At 51.6% G+C, this 12597-nt stretch overlaps 1 protein-coding gene across 9 annotated transcripts in view; it reads left to right on the top strand.

Moving 5' to 3' along the window:
• PHF21B (PHD finger protein 21B) overlaps nt 1-12597 on the top strand; it is a 128844-nt gene that overhangs the window by 78811 nt on the left and 37436 nt on the right. For all 9 annotated transcript variants that reach the window (NR_134535.1, NM_001135862.3, NM_001413063.1 and 6 more), the window contains one exon: nt 10705-10797. Coding sequence is in view for 5 of the 9 variants with exons in the window: in NM_001135862.3 (NP_001129334.1) it covers nt 10705-10797 (93 nt within the window). In the remaining 4 variants the exon portion in view is untranslated. The remainder of the gene's footprint in view (nt 1-10704; nt 10798-12597) is intronic.

The following is a 12597-nucleotide window of genomic DNA, read 5'->3' as shown; positions in this document are numbered from 1 at the left end:
TAATTCTAGCACTTTGGGAGGCCGAGATGGGTGACTCGCTTGAGCCCAGGAATTCGAGGCTGCAGTGAGCTACGGTTGCGCCACTGCACTGCAGTTGGGGCAACAGAGCGAGACCTGGTCTCTGAAAAGAAAGAAAGAAAATGACTCCTTGTGGGGCTTGCTGAAGCTGGCTTTGGAAGAGGGTTCCAGCATTGAGGTCTTCTAAGAGTCCCCTGGGCGTAGCTCACCTCTCCGGAGCTGCTGGGTATCGGGGCTGTCACCAGCACCCTGGGAGAGAGCAGGATTCAGGATGGGGAAGGGCTGCAGGCCCCGGACAGCTGTTCCTGGCAGGAGAAGATACCGAGGTCCAAACAGGCCTCAGTACCTCGGGGTTGGGGGGTGCCGCCCTTGCGCCCTGCCCTTTCAGGGCTTGGCCAGCAACCTATCCTGTCAGAAGAGGTGAGAGCCCTTCTGGTGCCTGCCCCAGAGTGCTCTGCCTGACTCACATTCAGCTCCTGGGCATGGATGGATTCAGGGCCCCTGGTGGCAGGCCCCTCCTCTCCTCCTTCACTGTCCACCTTTGGGAGCTGTAGCCTCCAGTGCTCTGAGCCTCTTGGCACCCCTGCTGCTGGTGCCTCTGCCCCTCCCACCACCCTCCTGTCCCGCCTCCCGACTCCTATGTGCTTTCCTGACTGCCCACTGGTAACATTCCGGTCCAGCTTGCAAGGTGCCACTCAGACACCCCCTCCTGCTTCCAGCTGTAGACAGAGCTCCCTCTGTCTCCTTCATGCATATTTATTTATTATAAAATATACAAAGGGCCCTATAGTAAGCCTCCACATGTTCTCCACCCAAATGGGTAAACAGGGAGGTTGGGCAGTTTGCTTCTGATCACTTTCTTAAAGGCTAGTACACGGTAGAGGCAATAGGCATCCTCCAGCTTCCTCCTCTCCCTCTCCCCTCCACAGGGGCAGCCGCAGTCATGACTTGGGGATAGACCCAGCCCTGGCTGTGTGCGTTTATGGGACACCAGCAGGCCACACCCGCCCCAGTGCTGGCTTTGCCTGAGCGGATGGAGTCAGGCTGTGCGCAGACGCAGGTGCTCGTGTTGTTCACCCCGAGGGGTGTCTTCCACACTCTTGGTGACCCGGGCAAGTCTGGTTTCTTCCCTCTGGCTGCTGGGAAGTTTTCCATTGTATGAGAACTTTCTGGTTCCTCTTTTCCCTCCTAGTGACAGTGGGTGGATCCCAGCTTGCCTGGTTGCAGGTGCTGCAGGGGTCCTTCCTGGAACTGCAGGCCTGGGCTCGCTGCCTCACCTCATCTTCGACCTGTCGCCTCCCCTCCCTCCAGCCCGGTGGACCCTCGCATCTCTGTGGGTCCCTCAGGCCTGCCGCCTCATGCTGCATTTCTGTGGGTGTGTCTTGGCCCACAGAGGCGCGCAGGACTGAGAGGCAGTGGCACCATTGGAACGACTCAAGTGCCAGTGCCACCGGCTGCTGTTAGAGCACCTTTGTGCCGGGCATCTCCTGGTACAGGGACCTCCCCTCTGGTCCTTGTAACAGTGACAGCAGTTCTTGCCCTCTTTCTTTGGAGGTGGGGGAGCAATGAGTCTGGCATGACCAGCGCCAGTCCAGAAGTCAAATTCAAATGCACATGGGTTGGCCTCCCCATGGTGGTCTTTGTTGCAGGTGCACCGGGCATGGTGGTAAACGCACGTGGGCTGGAGGAGGCACAGGGCAGCCAGCTGAGACCAGAGCAAGTGGAATTTGCCTGGATTTTCACATGCACTCGCCGTGGCCCTTGCTGGTCCCTCCTGGATGAGCTTGGGGCTCATGAAGGCGGGATGTCTGGATGAGGGTGGGGGACACCAAATGGGGACATAAAGGCCAAGCCTAAGCACATTCTCATGCAGCAGCAGCGGCCCGTGGAACCAGCTCGTTCGTTCCTGACAGTGATAAAGGCGGCAGTTGGATTTCATCTGTGAATAATGAACTGGTTTCACATGACAGTAAAAGTGGTGCTTATGTTATATTAATATTTATTAGCGGTTATTGATGTTGGAACTGACTTGTTATCTTTGCCACACATCACAGCAGTTCTCTAAAGATGCAAGGAAAATTGCAACTCGAGAAGCAATTAAATTGCCGTGCTCTGTGGCTGTGCGCGTGGCGGCTGGGCCATGTGGAGAGGAGGAGAGCAAGGCCGCCTTCCATGGGGGCTTCTGGGAGGCCTGGGGCTGCCTCCCCTCTCGCCTCCCCAGCCTGGTGAAGCTCAAATGTCCAGAGGCCTGTGGGTCCTCAGCCCCGGCAGTGGGGCCTCAGCGGTGAGGGGTGGGGGGCCTCTGCAGCCCCAGGGCCTGAATGGTGGGTGAAGACTCTGGAGAGCCTGGTCCACCCTTGTCCAGTGAGGGTCTCCATGGGAAACACGGCCCACTGCGAGGAAGCAGCCACAGAAACCCAGCGCCTTCTGTAGACAATTGTCCTGGTTTCTTTAAAAAGTTCCTTTAAGCCATGTGTGTTGGCTCATGCCTCTAATCCCAGCACTTTGGGAGGCCAAGGTGGGCAGATCGTTTGAGGTCGGGAGTTCGAGACCAGCCCAGTCAACATGGTGAAACACTGTCTCTACTAAAAATATAAAAATTAGCCAGACATGGTGGTGGGCGCCTGTAATCCCAGCTACTCGGGAGGCTGAGGCAGGAGAATCACTTGAACCCGGGAAGCAGAGGTTGCAGTGAGCCAAGATCACGCTATTGCACTGCAGCCTGGGAGACAGAGCAAGACTCCGTCTCAAAAAAAAGTTCCTTTCATGGGAAGAAGGGGTGCTGTGGGGCTGTTCTAAATGGAAAGAGGCAGAAGAGACCCACAAATGACAGGGCTCGTCCTGGACCAGGTCCTGCTTGTAACCAATGGGACAGTCAGGGAGTTAGACTGTGGCCTGGCAGTTCGAGGACGGCGGGCGTGAGGCTGGTGTTGCCGTATGGGGTGAGTCCTGGTGGTGCGTGCTGAAGCGGGGGTGGGAAGAGCTGAGGGGTCCCGCACAGCTGATGTCAAAGCCAGCGCTGGAACCCCTCTGCCCTGGCAGAGCTCCAGAGCCAAGTCCCTAGAGCGCTCAGAAACATTTATTAAAGACAGATTTTTCCAGAGCCACATGTGGCTTTTGCCCTGGAAGGTTGTAGGGTCTGCACCAACACCTGTCTCCTTCCCGCTGTCTCCCCGTGTCTGAGCTTCCTAGAGATTTCCCCAGCTGTGCCCCGCCCCGCCCCAGACTCAGCCATGGCAGGAAGAATTTGAAGTTATCTTTGACTGTTATGGCCCGTTTTTTACCCCCTATTAAAATGCTTGGAGCTGTAAACGTAGTCACAAGCTCATTGATCTTGAAGTAAGTGCGGCTGTAAACTACCTGGTGCTGGTGAAATCGAGTCTGAGATGATTGTTTCTGCTGGTGTCAATAAATTCCAGCTTGGAGCAGAAAGGTCAGCCCTTGCCAGAAAAAAATGGCTTTCAGCTCGCTAATTAAAGGTTTGTAGGGAAGTGGAAGAACGCACTCGGGTAGGCTTGGAGTGAAGAAAACACGTAGAGATTGGAGAGCCTGAAGCTAGCTTAGCATTGGCGGAGAATGGACGGTTGTTGGAAGGGGATGGCAGTGTTCGAAAAGGAACCCACCGTCCCCAGGGCGGTGAGGAGGGGGCCCTGCAAGGCAGCCCTGTTTGCAGCAGACTCTTCCCCAGATAATGGGGACTTTGGACTTTGACTCAGAATCGTCTCTCCTTTGGTGCTGGGGCTGTAGGTCCATGGTTGCAGAGCCCACTCTTTCTGCCTGCCTAGCTAAGGGTGCTGGATACTTGAGGGCACCCCATATTTGCTCCCTGAAGAGCTGCAGGGCACCTCGAGTCCCAGGCAGGGGCACACAGGCCGTTGGTTTGGAGTTTTGGGGGGACACGCATGGCCAGGCACTGTTTGTTGCCGGCCTCCTGCGGGTGTGGACGTTTCCCCAGGGCGGGTTGTGTCCCTTTCTTGGTAACTGACTAGGGAGGATCAAGTGGAAATAGCTCTTCCTGTCATCTCCTCACCTCTCTCTCGGGGTTCTGCCTCTCCGCCGCCTCCATCCGTCCCTCTCCTTTGGGTCTCCCCTCCTTTCCCTGTCCCCGGCTGTGAATTCCTAAAGTAAGGGCACAGGAGTTGTCAGGGTCCCAAGTCAGGAGGGAGCGTCGAGCCTTGACCAGATATGAGGCCCAGAAACACAGACACAGAGCCAAAGACGCTCCCGAGAAGAACTCGTGTGGAAGCAGAGCTGTGCACACCTGAGTGGGTATCAGAGAAAGCAACAGCTGCTGCTGAGCAACGCCCAGACACAGATACACGGTCACTCCCGGCCCACATGGCAACACCCGGATACAGACACGGCCACCCCCGGCTCACGCAGCAACACCCGGACACGGATACATGGCCACCCCTAGCTCATGCAGCAACACACAAAACACACAGCTACCCATGGCCCACGTGGCAGTACTTGGACATGGACACATCGCCATCCCAGCCCACACGGCAACCCTTGGTCCACGAGGCAACATGGAAAACACACATGGCTGTCCTCGGCCTCCTCAGCCCACCCAGAGCTATCTGCAGGAGCAACTTCACACAGCAACCCTCCAGGACTCACAGAGGCACATGTGGGCTTGGAAAACACAGCAGCACACACCCGCCTTGCCTGGAGGGCCAGCCCACACCTCCTCACGGGCTGGCCCATGCCTGGAGGTTTTATCTGGGGCATCTGAGTGAGGACGGAAGCCCCAGCAAAACAGGTTCGTGCCTGTTCTCTGGCCCCTATTGGATATGCTGGCCAGCCCCATCCATGTGGAAATTTCTCCTCCCCGGGGCCCCACGGCCTGCCCCTCATGCACACACTTACGGGGAACCTGCCTCGGGAATCCACCGCGGGGACATGCCATGTGGGCCTTCCCGCCACAGAACCTGCTTCCCCAGGAACCCACATGCCGTGTGGGCCTTCATGCCACTGAATGTGCTTCCCTGGGAATCCATTGCAGGGTCATGCCTCATGGACCTTCCCACCACAGAACCCGCTTGCCAGGGAACACACCTTAGGGACGTGGCATGTGGGCCTTCCCACCACAGAACCCACTTCCCCGGAAATCCACTGCAGGCCGGGCCACGTGGGCCTTCCCACCACAGGGCTTGCTTACTCTCGGCCTGCGGCCCCAGTTGGGTGGAGTTACCTGGAATCTGGCTCATCAAATGGCTGCTCCTGCTTGCCTCCCGCCCCCACAGTCTGGGCTGGCCTGGGGCCCTGACTGTTGACCAGCTGCATAAATGGCACTGGCTGGCAGGCCAGGGGCGGGGAGATCAGAGCCTTCCACACACCTTGCTTTGTGGAAGTTGGGGGAACACTGGTCGTGGAGTTCGAGGTAATGGGGAGGACAATCCCCATAACCCCCCATCTTTGAGACATGCATTAGGGGAGGCGGGCATCAGGTGGCACCTGAGGTGGTCTCAGTGCTGCCCGCCAGGCTGTGCCAGCCAAGAGCAGCAGGCGGTGTTATGGATTGGGAGCTGCCTCATCCAGTGGCCGAGGCTGTTTGTCATGGGCTCCGCATTGCATAAAAAGCTCTGTTTTAACAAATGTCCAAAGTGGATATCCAGGGGAATGTGGGTCATTTGGTTCCATGCAGAGAGACAGGCAGTTGGCTCAGAGGACATGAGCCTCTCAGAGTTTTGACCCCCATGGGACAGGTGGCAAAGAGGAGGCAGGAACCGCCGTCCGAGCATAATGAGAGAAGCAGCTCTGTGGTGGGGCCTGAGACCCTCTGCCATGTCATTTGAGGATGGATGATATTCATTCTAGGGGTGGAGAGAGATTAGATAAGGAGAGAAATGGGGAGGGAATTTTTAACAGCTTTGTGGAGGTATAAGTGATACACAATGAGCTGCATGTATTTAGAATGTACAATATAAGTTTGACAAATGTGAACCCATTGCCACAATGAAGATCGTGAACACATCTTTCTCCCTGAAAATGTCCTGGTGTCGTTTTGTAATCCCTTCCTCTCGTCCCTGCACCATCTCCACAAAACCTGGGATTTATTTTCTGTCACTTTGTTTGCCATTTTCAGAATTTCGTATAACTAGCATCATACAGTATGGATATTTTTTGGAGTCTGGGTTTTTTTGGCAGTGTTATTTTGTGATTCATCCATATTGTGTGTGTCAGTAGTTTGTTCCTTTTTATTGCTGAGTAATACTCTGTCGTGTGAAGATACCACAGCTTGCTCATCCGTGTACTTGTTGGTGAGCGTTTGGGTTGCTTCCCATTTGTGCTGTGACACCAAGAGCTGCTGTGAACATTCACGTACAAGTCTCTGTATGAACACGTGCCTTCCCTTCTCTTGGCGAATGCTTAGGAATAGAATGGCTGTCTCGTATCATAAATGTCCTAGTCTGCCCAGGCTGCCATAACAAAAATACCATGGACTGGCTGGCTTAAGCAACAGAAATCAGTTTCTTATGGTTCTGGAGGCTGGGAAGTCCAAGATCAAGGTGCCAGCAGATTCAGTTCCTGATGAGGGCTCTATTCCTGGTTTGCTGATGGCCACCTTCTTGCTGTATTTGCCCATGGCAGAGAGAGAAAGAGAATGAGAGAGAGAGAGGACACAAACTCCCTCGTGTCTCTTCTTATAAGAGCACTAACTGAGGGCTCCACCCTCATGACCGGATCACCTCCCGGAGGCCCCATCTCCAAATACCATCACATTGAGGGTTAGGATTTCAACATTTGGATCTGGGAGAGGACACATACGTTCTGTTCATTGCCATACATAAGTTTAACTTTTTAACTGCCAAACTGTCTTTCAAAGCGTATCATTTTATGTTCCCGACAGCAGTGGTTGAGAGTTCCATTTGCTCTACATCCTCACCAGCACTTGATTTGGTCAGTCTTTTTAATTTTAGCCATCTGAATAGGCTTGTAGCAGTATCTTATTGTGGTTTTAATTTGCATTTCCCTAATAACTAATTATGTTTAGTAATTTTTTATTTGCTTATTTGCCATCAGTAGTTGTTTTTGTTGTTGTTCTCCTTCCTCCCCTCTTCCCTCCCCTCCCTCCTCTCCTCCTTCCTCCCCTCTTCCCTCCCCTCCCTCCCTCCCTCCCTCTTCTTCCTCCTCTTTCTTCTTTCTTCTTCATCTTTCTTCTTCTTCTTGGATCTCACTTTGTCACTCAGGCTGGAGTGCAGTGGTGCAATCATGGCTCACTGCAGCCTCAACCTCCTGGCCTAAAGTGACCCTCCTGCCTCAGCCTCCCAAGCAGCTGAGACTACAGGCATGTGCTACCATGCTCAGCTAATTTTTAATTTTTTTTTTCTAGAGACTATATTGCACAGGCTGGTTTTGAACTCCTGGCCTCAAGAGATTGGCCTACCTCCACCTCCCAAAGTGCTGGGATTTCAAGCATGAGGCACTGTGCCTGGCCCAGTATATCTTCTTTAGTGGAGTATCTGTTCAAATATTGTGTTCATTTTAATGAGTTGTTTGTTTTCAGATTATTGAGTTTTAAGAGTTCTGTCATATATTATGGATACAAGGCTTTCATCAGATAGGTGATTTGTATGTGTTTTTTTCCAGGGTGTGGCCACTTTTTGCATTTTCCTAACATTCTCTTTCCATCTTTGGGAGTTTCTTATTTTGTTGAAGTTAATTTATTATTTTGCCCTTATATCGATTATGTTTTTGGTGTTGTATCTAAGATTCTTTGCCTGACCTAACATCCCAAAGATTTCTGTTACATTTTATTTGAGACATTTTGTTCGAGCAGTTTTATAGTTTTGGTCCCTACATTCAGATCTCTGATCCATTTGTTCTTTTTTTTTTTTTTTTGATATGGTATGTGGTATGGACTGAAGTTCTTTTCTGTTCGATTTTAGTATATATCTCCTTGTTCTAATACCATTTTGAAAACATTATCTTTTTTGTACTAAATTAATTACCTTTTTGGGCTTTGCTGAAAATCAATGGACTATGTATGTGTAAGTCTACTTTGGACTCTCTGTTCTGTTCCATTGATCTATTTATGCATCTTAACACCAATACTACACTGTCTTGATTACCATAGCTTTATAGCGGGTCTTGGAGTCAGATAATGTTAAATCTTTCCCTTTGTTTGGTTGTTATTTTTGTTTGTTTCATAGTTTTGGCTATTCTAGGTCCCTTATAATTTCATATGCATTCTAAAATCATCTTGTCAATTTCTATTTTTTTAAAAAAAAGCTGACTGAGATTTTGATTTGAGGTTGTGTTGAATCTGTAGATCAATCTGGGAAGGATTGAAATCTTAACAATGTTGAGGCTTCTGATTCATGGTTACGGTATATCTCTTTCTTAAGTCTTTAAACAATTCTTTTGGCGATATTTGGAAGTTTCCAGTGTACAGGTCTTATATAGCTATTGTCAGATTCATCCCTATTTCTTATTTTTATTTATTGATGCTATTGCAAATGGCATTTAAAATTTTTTGAATTTCTAAATGTTGGTGCCTAGTGTATAGAAACACAACTGATTTTTTTTTTCTTTTTTTTTGAGATGGAGTTTCACTCTTGTTGCCCAGGCTGGAGTGCAGTGGTGTGATCTCGGCTCACTGCAACCTCCACCTCCCAGGTTCAAGCGATTCTCCTGCCTCAGCCTCCTGAATAGCTGGGATTAGAGGCATGTGCCATCACGCCTGGCTAATTTTGTATTTTTAGTAGAGATGGGGTTTCTCCATGTTGGTCAGGCTGGTCTTGAACTCCTGACCTCAGGTGATCTGCCTGCCTTGGTCTCCCAAAGTGCTGGGATTACAGGCGTGAGCCACCGCGCCCAGCCCACAACTGATTTTTATATATTGTTCTATCCTGCAACCTGGCTAAACTCATTTATTAGTCCTAACAGCTGTTTGAAAATCTGTTGAGGCCGGCATACGGTTTTTCTTCTTCCATGTGTTATTTTAGCAAATTACACAGACTGACTTTCAAATGGCAAAGCAGCCCTGCAGTCCTGGGATAAACCCAGCTTGTTCATGATGTCTTATCCTTTTTGTTATTGTTAGAATTGATTTGCTAACATTCTGTTAAGAATTTCTGCATCTGAGATCAAGAGAGAACCTCACTGGTCCCTGGCCACTGATGGTTTGACTGGATCTGAGCAAGGGGTTCCCTCTCTCCCCATCAGGCAGGCTCGTGGGGTGCGAATGTAGCCATGTAGAACTGCTCCATCAGGACCGGGCGCGGTGGCTCATGCCTATAATCCCAGCACTTTGGGAGGCCGAGGTGGGTGGATCACCTGAGGTTAGGAGTTTGAGACCAGCCTGGCCAACATAATGAAACCCCATCTCTACTAAAAATACAAAAGTTACCCAGGCGTGGTGGCGGGCGCCTGTAATCCCAGCTACTCGGGAGGCTGAGGCGGGAGAATCACTTGAACCTAGGAGGCGGAGGTTGCAGTGAGCCAAGATCACGCCACTACATTCCAACCTGGGCAACAGAGCGAGTCTCCATCTGAAAAAGAAAGGCTGGGTTCCGTGGCTCATGCCTGTAATCCTAGCACTTTGGGAGGCCGAGGCGGGGGGTGGATCATGAGGTCAGGAGATTGAGACCATCCTGGCTAACACGGTGAAACCCCGTCTCTACTAAAAATACAAAAAATTAGCCAGGCGTGGTGGCAGCGCCTGTAGTTCCAGCTACTCGGGAGGCTGAGGCAGGAGAATGGCGTGAACCCGGGAGGCGGAGCTTGCAATGAGCCGAGATCGCGCCACTGCACTCCAGCCTGGGGACAGAGCAAGACTCCGTCTCAAGAAAAAAAAAAAGAAAAAAAAAAAGAACTGTTCCGGTTCCATCGGGGGCTGTGGGTAGTGGTGGTTCCCACAAAAGGAGACTTTAGACAAGTGAGCACCCCACAACACATCTCCTGTACGCGTGTGGGCCTGGAATTCCTGGGAGGGTGCCATCTCCCTTCTCCTTACCCTGAATGTCCACCCTGCTAGTGGTGCTGCCATCCCATCGTGTGTTGGCGAGACCCCCATATTGGGGGGCTGGGATTTGGGGGGCAGGTTGGTGCACACCCAGGCCGTTCCCCCTCCTGAGGGACCCAGTGCAGATATGCACCAAGGGCCTGAAAATATTCCTGCATTTTGGTCCATGGATCCCCATATTCAGACTCTCCTACAGAAATGCTCTGTGATGTGGAAATGGATTTATCCACAAAGATGTTCGCTGCAGCATTGTTTATTAACTGGAAAAAGATGGAGCTAGAACTCAAATTTCCAAGAGTAGAGGATTGTCTGAGGAAATACCATTATGTCTGCTGAATGGAAGATCCCATAGCCATTAAAGGAGTGATTTATGAAGATCGTAGCGACATCACACCTTGTCCTTAAGTGAAAGTAGAAAAATAGGTTACAACATTCTATATTTAGCTGTATAAAAAATTCACTTAAAAGAGGAAGCCAATGTGTAACAAAGGGTAATTGATTTCTGGGCAGTGCTGCTCTTTTCCTTTCTCTAGTTTCCAAACTTTCTGGAAGGAATATCGATTACTATTGTGATTTTTTAAAAATCATAATTAAGAAAGGGAAGAGTAGAATTTGCTGTCTCCAAGGCAGCTGCCCCCTGCTTGGCCAGGCTGGGGGCAACGGATTCGGTCTCAGCTGCTCCTCCTGTCTCAGCGTTGCCCTCCTGTATGTTTCAGGCTTTGGGAACGATCACTGCAGTGCCTGTCACGGGTCCTCAGGTCAGCTCCTTGCAGAGGTTGGCCGGGCAAGGAGCGGCAGTGCTACCTCAGGTAAGCAGCCCTCGGGCGGGCCCTGGGGTGTCCGTCTGTCTGTCCCCGCAGTCTCTGTTCCTAACCCCTCAGCACTGAGGTTTCTGGTGGGCACTGGGCCAGGCGGAACTCGTGCCCTCTCAGCTGCACCTTCCCCTCTTACCTCTTCTATCCATTCTTCAATGGAAACATTTGGACCAGATACGTTTCTTCAGCAAGGAATTGGGAAATCAATTTAGTGGGTCATGACCAGAATTTTTTAAAATGGAATAAATGAGGCCAGACTAAAATAGAATGGAAATATCAAGATATGCATCCTATGCATTGTTTCTTGACCAACTTGTTTCAAGACTGGGTGACTCCGTCGTGTGTATTTTTGACTATGGGTTATGGTCAGGAAGTTTGAGACACTCTGGACGAGGGGATTCATTTCAGGGAGGGGCAGCACAGACTCTGGGCCAGGTGCCCTGGCTTCTAGTGCAGGGTCCCCCCCGACTGGACTCCACGCTTTGCCCCAGTCACCTGACCTCTCAGCCTTCCTGGGCCGAGGCTTCTCACCTGCAGAGGGACTGGTGCAGGTGCCGGCTTCCTTCGTTGGTGGCTGTGAGGGTTGAGCCAATGGTGGCTGTGAGTATTGAGTCAAGACAAAACATTTGTAACCGTGCCTGGTACAGAGCAAACGCCAGGTAGTTATTAGCCAGCTCCCTTATTACCACAAGCTCAGCTTTGTTGAGCACTTGCTGTATATAGCATACTGGGCCAGAGGCTGCCAGTGGTAAAGACCAAGATGGCCCCTGCCTGTCGTGGGACCTCAGGGCTAGACAGATTCCCCCAGCTCAAGGATGGTGAGAGGTGGCCGCCCTGAGCTCCCTCATTCATGTGGCAACTTTCCCCAAGTGCCCACTTGAGCTGAATCAGAGTCTAGAGCAGGGGTGGCCAATCTTCCAATCTTTTGGTTTCCCTGGGCCACACTGGAAGAAGAATTGTCTTAGGCCGCACATAAAATACACTAACACTAACAGTAGCTGATGAGATAAAGGGAAAAAAATGGCAAAAAACTCTCGTACTGTTTTAAGAAGGTTTGAATTTGTGTTGAGCCGCATTCGAAGCCATCCTGGGCCGCATGCAGCCTGTGGTTTGGACAGGCTTGGTCTAGAGGGAGGACAGACAAGGAAAAACAGATACTGTGAGTCCAGGGTGATCGGGCCATGCCAGAAAGAGACACTGCGGGGCGGGAGCCCTGAGGAGACTTGCCACACACCTGGGCATCAAGGAAGGCTTCCTGGAGGAGGTAGTGCTTGAGCTAGACCTCAGGGTAAGAGGACATTGCAGGCTGAGGTAGAGTTAGGCCCTAGAGGGAGCCCCCCAGGAGGAGGGTGCAGGGTGAGAAACGGAGGCAGAGGTGGTAGGGAGAGACCAGAGTCAAAGCACTGAGGGAGGGAGGTTGGGACAGTCCTGGGGGTGGAGAGGCCACCAGGGGCCCATGGGGACCTTAGAGTTGGACTTCTCCTGTCGGTGACCCTTGGGCAGCAGGGAGCTATGCGAGGCTTCAGAGCAAGGCAGGCTCCAGGGAGAGGCTGCCAATCAAGGCCAGTGCTATTTCCCTCTGCCCAGCACCCTCTCTTCTTCCTCTCTCCCTTCCGCCTGGACCTCTGTCTCCATGTTTTGTCCTTGCTGTCTCTGCCCCACAAAAGTCTGCACCTGCCGTTGGCCTGCTGGCCTCCAGGACAGTCAGCTTGGGCCAGAAGGTGTCCAGTGCATGCCGGGTCCAGCTACCAGCTGCTGCTGTCCCAGGTGGCTCACGGGCAACAGAGTAGGCAG

This window comes from Homo sapiens, chromosome 22 (assembly GCF_000001405.40).
Source record: "Homo sapiens chromosome 22, GRCh38.p14 Primary Assembly".
In the NCBI taxonomy this organism is placed as follows: Eukaryota; Metazoa; Chordata; class Mammalia; order Primates; family Hominidae; genus Homo; species Homo sapiens.
The sequence above is the reverse complement of the archived record's forward strand: the minus strand, read 5'-3'. Positions and strand labels throughout refer to the sequence as shown.